Below are 17,391 nucleotides of genomic sequence, written 5' to 3'. Positions count from 1 at the left end.
TACAAGAAACTTCCATTTTTACATGTGTTTCTATTGTCTTTACCAAATTTATTGCAATTTTCATACTTACTTCAGTACCCCTCCTTATACTCATTTAATCTTCACTTATTTTGTAGAATGAATCTCAGGAATACTCCTTACTTGTTGTATCATACATACACTGATCTATAGTACATAAATTAATTTTCACATTTCTTTGATACTAGCACTTTTAAAAAAAGTGAGTCTGTATTGGTTGTTAAAAATTGATGATTATTAGTAGAGACAGTAAAATTTCAAGAGATGTCACAATCTAATATGTGGTCTTTGTCATTGTTTTAGTGCAGTATAAGTATATTGCACAATCCAAAACCCAGCTGCTTGTCTTTCCTGTGCAATGAAGTATAATTTGGGAAGGAAGCCGGATATCTGGTTATTAGTATATATCCATGTTCTGGTTCCACTCTCTCAAATAATGTCTTTGTCTGACAGATGTTGCATAATCTTCTCCATACCATTACCACATCTAACACAAAAGAAAGTCATTGTCAGTATTTTAGTGGAGCCATTGTTTGTCTTGAATATTCTCTTATGTCATCATAGTCTTACTTGAGATAAAAGTTGAGACATTTCTTAGTCTAGAAAATGTTTCCAGGCTACAGTTCTCTGATTGAAGGAGAAGAGAAACACTAGTTTCCAATAGTCATACCCACTGCTTACTGAGAAAATAAATATCAGTGTGACTTCAAGCAAGTCACTGAATCTCCATACACCTCAGTTTCTCTATCTATAAAGGGTAAGTATAGAACGGTGAGGATAGAAATAGTATCCACATTATTTAGTTATTATGACTATAAAATCAGTTAAAATATGCAAAGCATAGACTAGTAACTGGCTCTCAGCCTAAGATCTTTTTTTCTTCATTTGTTAAAAAAAATTGTCATAAAAAATGTTTCAGTAGATATATTTAGTTTATTGTTTTCTAAAATCAGAAAAAAAAAGTTGCTAAGCACTGTAGAATATTTGTATTGCCCCAATGTGGGTGTGATTTTACAAGGTTAAGAAGCAATTTGAACTTGTGCAGGACCTACGTTTGTTTCCATTTCGGTTTACTTGCCTTCTCGGCATGTAGCATTTAAGAAAGGTTTTTTTAAAAAAAAAAAAGTCCCCGGAGTTTACAGTCTCCCAGGAGAAAATAAAGGAGTTTTACATGAAGAATTGAGAACACAGTTTTGGAAGTAAAATTATTTATCTCGTGAACTCAGATCAATAATGTTAAAGCAATTATACTCTGGATGTCTGGGAATTCTTTCTACTTGATGCTTTATTTTTTATCTTGTGATTTCTTCTCTCTTCCAGACTTATACAACCTTAAATTAAGTACATAAAGATGGACATGGAATGATTTTCATTGAACAAAAGCAAGATAATTTTATTAAAATGTGCTTATTGATGGTAGCAAAACGATTCTGTATGATACTGTCACGGCATATACATGACATTATGTATTTATCAAAACTAGCAGAATTTTCTAGCACAAAAAGTGAATCTTAATGTATACAAATAAAAAATTATTTAGGAAGTAATGAGATTCCAGGAAAATATCCCAACTGTAGGGAAAAAAAACCCTCACTATATTACAAACGTATCGAAGAAAAAAAATAACTCATTGAAAGGGATTGGGAAAAGGTACATACCTCGGTAATCTGAGGAATGTGTACAATCTGTAAAACTTAAAGCAAAACAAACTGCACATGAATGCTGTATTCTAGTTGTTTTCCATTTGGGTATGGATTAATAATATTGATACTACTATATGTGTGACCTGGAATTGAGCAACTAATAAATGGATGGCAAGTGGTAATGGCCAGTTTTCTCACTGTTGGAATGGTAACTTATAGATAAGCAAGGGGAAGAGGCTTGAATAATGTGAGTTAGAATTGCAGATGTCAATAAGAAGTTATGTTTATCATAATATAGATGATCTAATTACATATAGAAATGTTTATTTCTACGTATATATAGACCAGTTAATGCACACATATTTTTTTGCCCTTTCAGAAAAGAGAGCCTAAAAGAAATGGTGCCCTGGAAGCAAAGAGCATGCCTAGAATTCAGATCCTGCTTTCTAATACTATTTTCCAATAAAAAGAACCAGGACTCTTTGGATAAATGGTTGATTCTAGGAATGGGGGAGGAAGTGCATAAGATAAGCCTGAAACATCTTGTGGTGCCAGAAAGTAAGGAAGGACTTTATAAAATTAAAAAAAAAACTTATATTGATGGAGGCATAGGAGTCAAGTGAAAGATATTCCAATGGCCAAAACTGCAATAATTTGAGCAACATGAAGTAGTGCTGTATTATTGCCCCAAATATAAAACAAACATTCCTGACTCCATGCTTATATAAATAAGTGACTGAATAAATAAGTATATGAAAGATAATGGAAATTCACCCATGTAGAAAAATTCCAAAGAATTTATGTGGATACTCCACCCTTAAGGAGTGGGGAATATAACTCTCTTTTAGTGTGGGCTGTGCATAGAGACTTCCTTCCAAAGAATACAGTATGAGAAGAGGAAGAAAAAAAGAGTAACTTTATAGTGGAGGAGATATTCCTACACTACCTCAGCCAGGTGGTGAATGTTAAAAATAATGATGATAAGTCAAGTTGATAGCATATACTCTTATGTGTTGAGGGTAGCATTTTACTTCTATTGTCTTTCTCCCCAAAACACATAGCCACTGTATAATCCTGGGAAAAAAAAAATCAGACGAATTCCAATATGGGAACATTCTATGAAATACCTGACTAGAACTCCTCAAAACTGTCAAGATCATTGAAAACAAGGAAAGTCTGAGAAACTGTCACAGCCAAGAAGAGTCTAAAGAGACAGGACAAAGGTAATGTGGTATACTGGGTGGAATCCTGGAATACAAAAAGGACAGTATGCAAAAACTAAGCAAATCTGAATAAAGTATGGACTTTAGTGAATAATGTGTCAGTATTTATTGTTACAAATGTACCATACTCATCTAAATAATGCTAATAATAGGAAAAATTTTGTTTGGGGTATATGGTTATTCTCTATATTATCTTCCCAATATTTTTAAGTATCAAAACCATTTTTAAAAGTCTACTTTAAAGGATATGGTCACTGGTATCAGCAAATATGTTAAGATACAGAGTTCATTTATGTCTGGGTTTTTTTTTTGAACTAATTAAGTGGCAGAATACATCCTAGAATAGTGGACTACACCAGTTTGACAGTGACTGATCCATTAACATGATTTCTAAAATATCTCAACCATTTTACTTACTTCGCACATGTGTGGGAAAGGGAGGCAAGTAATAGAGCCTTTATGTGCTGCTCTCCACAATGGTGTGATACATGTAGAGTATGGGAATAACAAGCAGCATTTCTGATCAGTGCTGTGGTCTAGGAATTAAGAGCTAGAATTTCTTGACTCAAAGGAGAATAAGTCCTTTTATCATTTTCCTGCTAGTTATTTTTAATTCTAGTTATTCACTTTAATTCTAGTTATCAACTAGAATCCCAAAATATTAACATCACTTAATGTCGTTTCAACTAAGCTGTGTTCATACCAGGTTGCCTCTGAGTTCAAGGGTAGTATTACTGAAATTAACACAAGAAATAGTCAAAATGAATAGTACTTTAATATATAATACTTAAATTCTAGCATGTACAGATTTACCATGAAGCTAACAAATCTTAAATTGTAGGACCTCTCACTAGCAATGACCCTATTCAAGTTTTTGTGCTTAATTTTATGTCTTTAATTTCATGCTTTTTTTTCTAAAAAAAAAAAAAAAAAAAAAAAGGCTTCTGAAATTGTGTGAGCTCCAGGACATATGACGCCCTGCAGCATACCTGCTAGCCATATAACTGAATGAAGGAATAAAATAGATATTTAAAACCCATAAATAAAGTCCTAGTTTAATCCAATAATTTTAACATTTACATCAAAATAAGTAGACCCTTGTAGTAGAATTGAAACAATTAGCACAATTGAGTAATTTTTCCACATTCTGTTTCCTCTATACATTCTCCTAGGGAAGGAACAAAAGAACAGTAACATCATCAAATGTAAGGGAGCCATAAATAGGCTTCTATGAAGTTGATTATCAGCTACTATATATTCATATGTAATTAAACATGACACTTGAGTACTATTGAGTCATAATAACGTAAGAGAATTCTTGATTCTTTATCAACATTATTTCTTTTTTCTTTCCAAAGTTTCTTTCAGATTCAAAGGGCACATGTGCATGTTTGTTACATGGGTATTTCATGTTATGGGGGTGTGGGGTACAGATTATTTCATCACTCAGGTAATAGGCATAGTACCCAATAGGTAGGTTTTTGATCCTCACCTTCCTCCCACCCTCTACTCTCAAGTAGGCCCTGGTGTTTGGTGTTTATTATTTTTCTTTGTGTCCATGTGTACCCAATGTTTAGCTCCCACTTATAAGTGAGAACATGTGGCATTTGGTTTTCTTTTTCTGCATTAATTCACTTAGGCTAATGGCCTCCAGCTCCATCCATGTTGCTGCAAAACAACAACAACAAAAACAACCAAAAAAAGGATGGTTTTTTTATTTTTTTATTTTTTTTATGGCTATGTAGCCTAGACTATATTAGTCTCATTGAGTCCTTTGTGTTTAACACTGTTTTTAGAAAATATTTCCCTTATCTTATGGGAAAAATGCAAAAAAAAAGTTTATCTTATAATCCCTTCCAGGGCATAATATTCTATCTTGTCATTAAAATACAGAAAGGCAAAAGGCTGCTTTCATTAAAATCCTTCCCATTTCTCAAGGTCTATTCCATTAACTGCTTATTCTGTGTCATGCACTGTACCCAATGCTATGGAAACAAAGATGACCAAGGCATCCCTGACCTAAAATGCATCACAATCTGGTGGGTGAAGCAGATGTGATAATCAACTATAAAACAATGTAGAAACAGTGGGAAACACAGGATCCTCTAATGAAACAGGAGACCCATATTACTTAGTTGGTTTGTAGTAGCCACAGGAAGACTTACTGGGTTTGAGAACCACTAAGAAAAGCAGGAGAATTTTGAGCAAAATCATCCTACAAGCAGTTCGGAGTTGCTGACCATAAATGTTGGTGTAGAGATTATTAAGAGTTGGCCTGGAGAGTTAGACAAGAAAAAGATTATGGAAAAACTTACATATACAGAATATCAAGGAGTGGGATTCTATCCTACAGATTAGGAGACAATATTGAGCAATTTAAAAAGGGGAATAACATGTCCAGAACTGTGTGATATATATATCACAGTTTCTTTATCCACTCGTTGATTGATGAGCATTTGGGCTGGTTCCATATTTTTGCAGTTGCAAATTGTGCTGCTATAACATGCATGTGCAAGTATCTTTTTCATATAATGACTTCTTTACCTCTGAGTAGATACCTAGTAGTGGGATTGCTGGATCAAACGGTAGTTTTAAGAAATGAGATAGACAGCAACACAATAATAGTGGGGGACTTCAATAATCCACTGGCAACATTAGACAGGTCATCAAGACAGAAAGTCAACAAAGAAACAATGGATTTAAACCATACACTGGAACAAATGGACTTAACAGATATTTACAGAACATTCTACCCAACAACCACAGAATATACATTCTATTCATCAGTGCATGGAACTTTCTCCAAGATAGACTATATGGTAGGCCATAAAACAAGTCTCAATAAATTTAGAAAATTGAAATTATATCAAGTACTCTCTCAGACCACAGTAGAATAAAATTGGAAATCAACTCCAAAAGGAAACTTCAAAACCATGCCAATACATGGAAATTAAATAACCTGCTCTTGAATGATCATTGGGTCAACAATAAAATCAAGATGGAAATTAAAAACTTTTTCAAACTGAACAATAATAGTGACACAACCTATCAAAACCTCTGGGATACAGCAAAGGCAGTACTAAGAGAAAAGTTCATAGCCTTAAATGCCTTTATCAAAAAGTCTGAAAGAGCACAAATACACAGTCTAAGGTCACACATCAAGGAACTAGAGAAACAAGGACAAACCAAACCCAAACCCAGCAGAAGAAAGGAATTAACCAAGATTAGAGCAGAACTAAATGAAATTGAAACAAAAAAAATACAAAAGATAAATGAAACAAAAAGCCAGTTCTTTGAAAATATAAATAAAATTGATAGACCATTAGCAAAATTAACCAAGAAAAGAAGAGAGAGGATACAAATAAGCTCTGTAGAATGTATATGCCAGCTATGAACATCATAGTAATGAAAGAGGAGGTATTACAATTGACTTTAATGTGTTAGTATAGCCTATCTATGTTAATAATAGCTGCCATTTTTCCTTTTTTCCCTTAAGTTCATTTTAGCATAACTAAAAGGCTCACAAAACGAGAGAATACAGCTGGTATTTAATATTCATATCTTTAATACTGGTATAGAGTATTCACTTTTCCATTAGTTTTTACACTTCTATCTCTTGGCAATGTTGCTGGCAATATTTTATTAGTACCATCATTAGCAAGCAGTCAATAAACTCACTGTCCAATGTGCATAGAAGGGAATAACGTAGCACCAGCCTTTGAGAAAAGACAGGCTTTATTGCAAGTCAACTGGCAAGGAGATGGGAAGAAATGCTCAAATCTGTCTCCCCAAGCTGGGGTTTGGGTCAAGTTTTATAAACATACAGTAATGAAGTGTGATCCGATTGGATTTTGCAACGAGGTGATGCTGAAAGGCATAATCTGACTGGGTCTTACTATGGGGTGATGCCAGGTCTCAATCTGATTAAATCCTGAATCCTGCCATGTGATATCTGCTTCTTAATTCAGTCCCAGCTCCTCAGTCCAAGCACTTACATTCCACCTGTGGTTGCTCATTTGGTTCATCTGGGCATATTCAGGTTACATGACCTTTAACTGGAAAATCCATGGCAACTGAAAAACAACTTACAACTTTGTTCATAAAACTTGAACCACCATCCTGGCCAACATAGTGAAACCCCGTCTCTACTAAAAATACAAAAATTAGCTGGGCATGGCAGCACATGCCTATAATCCCAGCTACTTGAGGCAGGAGAATCGTTTGAACCCGGGAATCGGAGGTTACAGTGAGTCGAGATCATGCCACTGCACTCCAGCCTGGTAACAGAGTTAGACTACATCTGAAAAAAAAACTTAATTAATTTAAAAAAAACTTGAACCAGATTCGTCTGATGTGGTTACTCCATGATTATATCCCAGTAGCATATTCTATGGGACCATTCCCTTGGAAAACTAAAATAGTAAGGTCCTGATATTAAAAGCCATATTTAAAAAGTTTGGGTCACTTTGTTCATATATGCTATCTCCTGGATGGCTGGAATAGAGTTTAAAGAAAGCAAAAATAAATATTTTTATGGGGACAATTTTAATTATTATTATTAAATAATCAAACTTTGCTCTAATTTAAATGTTGTTGAAGTCTCTAGGAAAAATGTATGTCTATCTTGCAAGTTGGACTTTCCAGACCACCCTTTAAAGAGAAATAAACAAACACTATTGGGATTTAATTTGGAGATTTAGCTTAATTGATCACACATGTAGGAAAACTACTAATTGGAGACATTAATAACTTGCTGGTTCACTAGTGGTTGTCAGGCTATTACTAAGCCGATTGAGCTTTTTTGGTTCGTTACTTAATACCAACTACTGAACCTGTGGTTTTAATAAAGTTCAATTTATTTTTAAAAGACAATCCAATCCATCTCCATGTGTGCTTCTCTTAAAGATTAATTTAGGTGACTCATAATACATTTTTTTGAAGATGAGAGGAATGAAAAAACAAGCCCCAATTGAATTTCTGTTTTGGAGCTGGGTGAAAATGGAGCAAATTGTGACTTCCTTGACATTACTGCAGCTTTTTTTCTGCCATAATATTCCAACCAAAACATTGGTAGGGGAAAAAACACATGTACAACAATTTTTCAAGAAATAAGCTCATTCTGTTTGTGCTCCTCTGTAGAATGTGTATGCCAGCTATGAACATCATATCAATTCTACTATAAGTTCCAATATAAGTCCAATATAGGTGCCACTTCTGGGACTCCTTCATAACTTCCAGATTCCTGCAGTCTGCTTTGATTTCCCCTCTTTATGTATATATCCCTTTAGCAAAACACTTATTATACATACATTCTCTGTTAGGTACTGTGATAGGCTCTGGATATACCAAAATTAAGACTCAATCACAAGCTCACTAAGATCAGAGAAGGACAGAGATAAGAAAATTGAGAAATAAATACACTGCTGTTATTACCATAAAAAAATGTTTGTTTGTTGTGTTTGCATGTGAAGGGTGTGTGTGGGTGAGGGTAAGAGGACAATTACTTATAAAAGTTCTCTGAGATGTTACAAATGAGCTGAGTTAGGGGTTAAAAACTTGCCTGAATAGATTATCATTACATTTTTTAATAGTGTACAACTGATTAAACAACATAAATGTATTACAGATTTTGATGATTATTAATTATAACAATATTTTGGTAGAAATAGATCTCTTAATGAGACTTTGTGTTCAATAAGTTCATGTATCTACACATAAATTTTTTAGCATGAGACATTTGTCAGCATCAATTCTATTCCTATTTTTCATTTTTATACAATTCAGTCAACATGTGGTCATATAAATAAGTAGGTGGAAATGGAAAATTTTCTTAATAGTAATATTGCTCAAATCTTTGAACTCCTTCTGAGCTTCTGCGTCATCTGCCAAAATTACCAACTAATCTATCATACAAATAATTCGTAATGATCTATCAGCTGCAACTCAATTATTCCCTGAAATTCTTTAAAAACAAAGAATGGGGAACCGCCTGATTTTAAAAAGGCATTTAAAACAATTTACTTCCTGTCCCTAGATTGTTAGGAAACAATGTTTCATGAATATTTTCATATTTCTGCACAGAAAGAGTTTTTCTTTTTTAACAAAAACTACCACTATCAGCAACCTTGATAAAGAATGGATGACAAATAAGCCTTGAGAGTTAAAGATACAGACCTGCAGAGAGATTAGTAACATTTTCCTTGGAGACATCTGTTTACATACAAGGAATTGTAAACCTAGAGAATCTCAGCTCTTCTCCTTGGAGAGGATTTGTTTATCTTCTAGAGCAAAGCTCTCTATCTCTATCTCTATCCCCATAGGGGAGGAGGATTAACTGTTCTAACTGCTCTATATGTTTCTAGACGTATAATTTCAAGGTTTCTTTCTGTATTAGTCTGTTCTCACACTGCTAATAAAGACATACCTGAGACTGAGTAATTTATAAAGGAAAGAGATTTAATTGACTCACAGTTCTAGATGGCTGAGGAGGCTTTAAAATCATGGTGAAAGATGAAGGGGAAGCAAGACACATCTTACATGGTGGCAGGCAAGAAAGAATGAGTGCCCAGCAAAGGGAGAAATCCCTTACAAAAACCATCAGAACTCATGAGAACTAACACTATCACAAGAACAGGATGAGAGAAACCACCTGCATGATTTAATTATCTTTACCTGGTCCCTCCCCTAACACATGGGGATTATGGGAACTATAATTCAAGATAAGATTTGGGTAGGGACACAGCCAAACCACATCATTCTGCCCCTGGCTCCTCCCAAATCTCTTGTCTTCACAGTTGAAAACACAATCATGCACTTCCAACAGTCCCCCAAAGTTTTAACTCATCCCAGCATTAATTAAAAGTCCAAGTCCAAAGTCTCATGTGAGACAAGGCAAGTCCCTTCCACCTATGAGCCTGTAAAATCAAAAGCAAGTCAGCTTCTTCCTAGATACAATGTGGGCACAGGCATTGGGTAAATACGCCCATTCCAAATGGGAGAAATTGGCCAAAAAAAGGGGCTAGAGGTCTCATGCAAGCCCAAAATCCAACAGGGCAGTCACTGATCCTTAAAATTCCAAAATGATCTCCTTTGACTTCATGTCTCACATCCAGGTCATGCTGATGCAAGAGGTGGGCCCCCATGGTCTTGAGAAGCCCTACCCCTGTGGCTTTGAAGGGTACAACCCCACTCCCAGCTACTTTCACGAGCTAGTGTTGAATATTTATAGCTTTTCCAGGTGCACAGTGCAAGCTGTTGGTGGATTTACCATACTGGAGTCTGGAAGGCAATGGCCCTCTTCTCACAACTCCACTAGGCAGTGCCCCCAGTGGGGACTCTGTGTGGAAACTCCAACGCCACATTTCCCTTCTGCACTTCCCTAGCAGAGGTTCTCCATAAGGACCCCGCCCCTGCAGCAAACATCTGCCTGGACATCCAGGCATTTCCATAAATCCTCTGAAATTTAGGCAGAGGTTCCCAAACCTCAATTCTTGACTTCTGTGAACTCACAGGCTCAACACCACGTGGAAGCTGCCAAGGCTTGAGGTTTCCACCCTCTGAAGCCTGAGTTTTGGGTGGGAACACAGACAAACCATATTACTCTCATATAGTACAAAGTCCACTATATACTCAGGTATTATCTGCAGTTACCATGTCTCTCCAGCGGAAATTGAAGCAAGATATTTGGTAAGTAAGCATAAGTCTGTCTCTAGTCCTGAGGTCTCATGATTAAGTGTGTTTGTGAGTGTGCGTGTGCACACACATGTATGTATATGCATGCACGTGAATATAGAGTATATAAAACCATGCAATAAGAGTAACATCTCAGACACTTCACAGTTTCAGGCCAAACATAGATTAATTCACTTTCTCAAGTCCGATATTACTAACTGTCCCTGCTTTGAATCCCTGAAGGTTTTGACACTACGTAACATTGTAAGGACAGGGATGTCTTTCTTTTGTAAAGGAAAAAAAGACTATTGTAAAAGTATAGGTGGGAAAGGAATACCTATAACTGTCTTATAGACAGATCAATTGTAACATGTGGTTTTGTACCCTTTGGAAAGACTTTACATATACCAAGTTGCACATTATAGGACAAGTAAAAGAGTGGGTGAAAAAAGTAAGTTGTAGAAATAATTGAGGATGATTCTTTACATTACAAAATTAAATATTACATTTTTATAGTTTCATGTATCTGTGGTTAATTGATTAAGAAAATTTAGGGAGTAATAAAAATACAAGGCAGTGAATTTTTTAGGGAAAATGGGGACAGTTATGGAAAGCTTCAAAGATACTGGTCAATGTTGTGTTTTCTAGTTGTTTATTTCAATATTTTCTGTAAACTATACAGATATTACTTTAAATTTTGTGTATTAAATGTTTCATAATTTTTGTCTCAATTTTTTAAGGTAACTGTCAATGTCACAGCTGAGTGATTGAGATGCCCTCAGTAACACCATGAGTGCCTGTATTATATAAAGCACAGTAAATAAAAATTTTATATTCATTCATTCTTCAGGTATTTACAGATCAGCTATGTCATTGTTCTTGGTGCTTCTAAAATAGTTAATAAGACAGGATGGAATGAAGGAGTGTAGTTTAAAGACTATTGTAATAATCTAAGTGAAAGATGATGGTGGCTTTGACAGGGTGGTAGCAGTGGAGATAAGTCATAAGGTAGTAGCAATATTGTGAATGTAGAACCAACAGAATTTCCTGATAGTTTAGATATGAGGTGTAAAAAATATTTAGTATGACTCTAAGGTTTTGACCTAAGCAACTGGAAATATTGAGTTTCCATACATTTGATAGGTATGAGAATGTGGATAAAACAGGTTTGATGGGGGAGAAAATTTGTTATCTGTATTAGATATAAAGTGGTACTGAATGTATAGGGCTGGAGTTCAACAGAGAACTATTTAAACACCAGGTGCACTGCTCACCAATTCTGCCAATTAAAAGCATCTTATTCTAGCTTAAAATTTTCATTTAGGTTCTTTTGTTTTTCAGACAACTCATTTTAGCCATACCAAAAGTTGTGTTTTGACTCAGAACTATATATTTTTTAAAAGTTTTTTTAATGATAAGGTCTATGATTTTCTAAACATATAGCTTCAGTACAAATACATGTGAATGTGTGTGCAAGTGTGTTTATGTGTGTGTGTATTTTTAATAAACTATAGTGCTAATATGGCTTTGCCATTGATTTCCAACTGTCTTCACTGGGAAATGTTGAATCATTGGCTAGTAATAGCTAAGGAACATGCCTTTGTCATCTTCTAATGCTGTGTTGTCTTTCTACTGACCTCTGTTGTGAACCATACCATTTTGGTCTGAAATTGATATTTCCTTCAGTCATGATTTTTAATACCAATTGCAAAGATGTCTTGGTCTCTGTGTGTAACCAAGCACTCAAGTGTCAGGCTTCAAACAGAGAGCCAATTATTTGTCTGGGTCTAGTAATCTCTGTTTTTAACCACAGGTCCTTTTATTAGTATTCTGTTCCCTATGTAAACATTCTGTACAATAGCAGTTGCAACTCTCTCAGTTTTGAATACTCTCTCATATTCACCCTAGGTCTCAGCCCTATCTCTAAATAGCACAACAACAGTAGGAAACATATTACAGGTATTTTAGGGTTTTTTTTTTAAATAAAACATAGTAGATTCCACATGGCTAAAATACTAACTGGAAAAAGTCTCCCCATTTGTGCAAAAGTCATGATTCCTATTTTATTTCATATGTAACATTAGAAAATATGTTGTTGCCTATAGAACTCCAAATTTTACTAGTTGATTATATTATAACCTGTTTTATAAATACTAAAACAATAATTTTGTGAAGTTAACTCAAGTCTAAGTTACACTTTTTAACTTTGCACTTTTGGAAATTTGATTATCAGTTAACACAGATGTCAGATTTATATTATTGGGATAGGTAAACTTAGACCATCAATTTATCATTTTATATTAAAATATAAATTTTTAAATGATGAAACTATAATGTTCATTTGACTCTTTATACTCTTATCTGCAGAAAATTTACATAGAAAGACACATTTCTACCAAAATATTTCTTAATGAGTAGAGCAATATTGTTTTGAGTGATTGGTTTTAATACCCACAGTTAACAAATTACATTTGAGAAATGAATTAGAATTAGGAAAACTTTGCCCTATATTATACCTAGCTCTTGAAAGAGTTTTAATCTTTGGCTCTTGTCCTCGTACACACCACCACTCATCTTGGTATATATCATTACATCAGATGTGTAATAGCAGTCTTTCTTTATATCAATTATACTGATGTAATATATATTCATTATCACGTTTCTTACTTCTTTATTCTATATCTTATACCGTATTAAGCATGAGAGATATGAATTGGAAAAGAAATTAGCCATGAGTGACATCAGCAAGAAGGTGGAATATCAAGTATCTTCTCCAACCACAATGGAATAAAACTAGAAATCAATAGCAATAGGAACTCAGAAAACTGCCCATATACTTGGAAATTAAATCACATGTTCCTGAATGTTCAACAGGTCAATGAAAAAAAGTTTAAAATTTTTCTAAAACAAACAAAAAAGGAAATACGGCATACCAAAATCTATGGGATACAGGAAAAGCAGTACTAAGAGGGAATTTTACAGCAATAAATATCTAAGTCAAAAAAGTAGAAAGATTTCAAATAAACAGCCTAACAATGCATCTCAAGAAGTTAGAAAAACAAGAACCAACCAAACCCCAAATTAGCAGAAGGGGGGAAAAAAAAAGATCAGAGCAGAACTAAATAAAACAAAGGCTGAAAAATAAGGCAAAAGATCACTGAAACAAAAAAGTAATCTCTCTTGAAAAGGTAAACAAAATTAACAAATCGTTAGCTATTCTAAAAATAAAAGAGAAGAACCAAATAAATGAAATCATAATAAAAAAAGACGTTATAACTGATATCACAGAAATACAACGAACCGCTAGAGACCATTTTGAACAACTATACACCAACAAATTAAAAAGCTTACAGGATATGAATAAATTCCTGGACACACATAACCTACCAAGATTGAACCAGGAAGAAATGGAAAATCTGAACAGACCAATAATGAGTAAAACTATTGAATCTGTAAGAAAAAAATCTTCCAAGAAAGAAAAACCCAAGATTGAATGGTTTTACCGCTGAATTCTACCACACTTTTAAAAAACTAACACCAATTCTTCTCAAACTATTCTAAAATATAAGGAGGAAGGAGTTATTTTTAACTCATTCTATGAAGCCACCATTACCCTGATAACAAAACAAGACCACAGCCAAAAAAGAAAACTATGGTCGATATTCCTGAGGAACATAGTTGCAAAATTTCGCAACAAAATAATAGAAAGCTAAATCTAAGAACACATCCAAAAGATAATACACAGTGATCATATGGAAATTATCCCAGGATGCAAGAGTGATTCAATATACAGAAATCAATAAATGTGATACATCACATCAACAGAATGAACAAAAACCATACATATGATCATCTCAATATATGCAAAAAAAGGCATTTGTTCAAAATCAAAATCCCTTCTTAACAAATTAGATATAGAGAGAGCATCCCTCAACACAGTAAATGCTATATATGAGAAACCCACAGCTAACATCATACTGAATGAAGAAAAGCTGAAAGCCTTTTCTCTAAGAAATAAACAAGACAAAGATGTTCATTTTCACCTCTCTTATTCAGCATAGTACTAAACGTCCTAACCAGAGCAAACAGGCAAGAAAAAGGAAGGGGGGATATGTTGGTTAATGGGTATAAAAATACAGTTAGATAGAAGAAATAAGTTCAAGAATTCAATAGCATAGTAGAGAAATAATAGTTAACAATAGTTTATTATTTTAAAAGAGAAGAGAATTGTAATGTTCCTAATACAAAGAAAAAATAAGTGTTTGAGGTGATAGAAATCCCAATTACCCTGACTTGGTCATTATACATTGTATACATGTATTAAAATATTATATGTACCCCCCAAAATATGTACATTTATAATTCATAACTTACAAAAGACACAACAAACAAATAAAGAGTGTCCAAATTGTAAAATAGAAAGTCAAATTGTTTCTCTTTGTAGATGGCATAATCTTATAAATAAAACATCTTCAAGACTCCACTAAAAAATTCTTAGAATAAACAAATTCAGTAAATTTGCAGGATACAAAATCAACTAACAAAAACCAGTAGCATTTCTATGCACAAATAACAAACTAGCTAGAAAAAAATTAAGAAAGTAATCCCATTTATAATAACTACAAATAAAATAAAATAACTAGGAATAAATTAAACCAAGGAGGTAAAAAATCTTTACAATAAAAATTACAAAACATTGATAAAAGAAATTAAAGAGGACATCAAAAAATGGAAAGACATTCTATGTTCATGGATTGGAAGAATTAATATTGTAACAATAGTAAAAATTACCCTACTACCCAAAACAATCTACAGATTTAATACAATTCCTATCAAAATACTAAATAACATTCTTTACAGAAATAGAAAAAACAATTCTAAAATTTGTATGGAACCACAAAAGCTCAAATAGCAAAAGGAATCCTGAGCAAAAAGAACAAAGCTGGAGGCATCACACAACCTGACATTAAAAAATACAACAAAGTTATAGTAACAAGAACAATATGATATTGACATAAAAACAGACATATAGACCAATAGAACATAAAAGAGAACCCAGAAAGAAATTCAGGTATTTAAAACCAACTGATTTTTGACAAAGATAACAAGAACATACATTGGGGAATGGAAACCGTCTTCAATAAATGGTGCTGAGCAAACTTGATATTCATATGCAAAACAATAGAACTAGACCCATATCTCTCACCACATACAAACAATTCAAAATGAATAAAATACTTAAACATAAGACCTGAAACTATAAAACTACTGGAATAAAACATAGGCACAACACTTCAGGACGTTGGTTTGGGCAAAGATTTTAGAGGTAACACTTCAAAAGCACAGGCAACAAAACAAAAATAGATAAATGGGACTACATCAAACTACAAAGCTTCTGCACAGCATAGGAAACAATCAACAGAGTGAAGAGACAACCTACAGAGAGAAAATATTTTCAAAGTATTCATCCAACAAAGGACTAGTATCTAGGATTTACAAGGAACTGAAACTACTCAACAAAAACAACAACAAAATCAATTAAAAAATAGGCAAAGGATGTAATAGATATTTGTTAAAAGAAGACATACAAATGGCCAATGGGATTAATGCTCAACAATAATCATCAGGAAAATGCAAATCAGAGTTAAATAAGATAGCATCTTACCCTAGTTAGAACGGTTATCATCAAAAAGACAAAAAATAAATAAATAAATAAATGCTGGTTGAGGATGCAGAGAAAAGAAAAAACTCTTATTTGCTGTTTATGGGAATATATATCAGTATAGCTGTTACGGAAAACAGTATGCAGGTTTCTCAAAAAACTAAAAATTGAACTCCCACATGATCTAGGAATCCCATACTGGGTATTTATCCAAAGGAAAGAAAATCACTACGTTGAAGAGAAACTTGGACCCCCATATTTATTGTAGCTGTATTAACAATAGCCAATACATGGAATCAATCTAAATGCCCATCAATGGATAAATGAATAAAGAAAACGCCACATATATATATATATATATATATATATGCGCAATGGAATTCTACTCAGCCGTAAAAAATAATGAAATCCTGCCATTCACAGCAACACGGATGAGCCTGGAGGACATTTTGTGAAGTGAAATAAACCAGTCACAGAAATATAAATACCACATATTCTTAGTCATATAGAGGAGCTAAAAAAATACCGAACTCACAGAAGTGGTCAGTAGATGCTGAGAAGGATGGGGGGAAAGTAGACATTGGTTAACAAATACAAAGTTACAGCTAAACAAGAGGAATAAGCTCTAGTGTTCTATAGTACTGTAGGGTTACAAATAATTTAGTGTATATTTTCAAAAAGCTAGAAGATTTTCAATGTTCATAACACAAAGAAATAATAAATATTCAAGGTAATGGATATGCTAATTACCCTAATTTGATTACACATTGTAAATATGTATTGAAATATCACTCTATAGCCCATAAAATATATATAATTATTACATCAATTAAAAAAGAAATTAATAATAAAGGTATTTGAAATATTGATTTATATCCACCATCATTAGTGGTTAATCTTGCCCTACATTTATTTTGTATAAGAATATTAACTAAGAGTAGCAGAACATTTGAAAATATTTTTATTTAATTACCCTCTTGTTTTATCTTGTTCTATCTACTGATAGGATTATGCAATGAGAAAAGCATGAAAAACATTGGCTTTGGGGAGCCATTGAAAGGCTTTCAACAGAACTATTGCATGGCCATACTTTCAGTTACAAATCTGGGAATGGGATTTGTGGAAGATAAAGAAAAATAAAGAATAAAATACAAGTAAAAAGTTGAGGTTAGAG

General features: G+C 33.6%; 1 long non-coding RNA gene across 2 annotated transcripts in view; it reads right to left on the bottom strand.

The window, feature by feature from the left end:
* The window catches only part of LOC105377356 (uncharacterized), a 288,441-nt gene that overhangs the window by 154,269 nt on the left and 116,781 nt on the right, over positions 1–17,391 (bottom strand). The gene's annotated exons all lie outside the window — the stretch shown is intronic.

Source organism: Homo sapiens, chromosome 4, assembly GCF_000001405.40.
Source record: "Homo sapiens chromosome 4, GRCh38.p14 Primary Assembly".
Classification (NCBI taxonomy): Eukaryota; Metazoa; Chordata; class Mammalia; order Primates; family Hominidae; genus Homo; species Homo sapiens.
The sequence above is the reverse complement of the archived record's forward strand: the minus strand, read 5'-3'. Positions and strand labels throughout refer to the sequence as shown.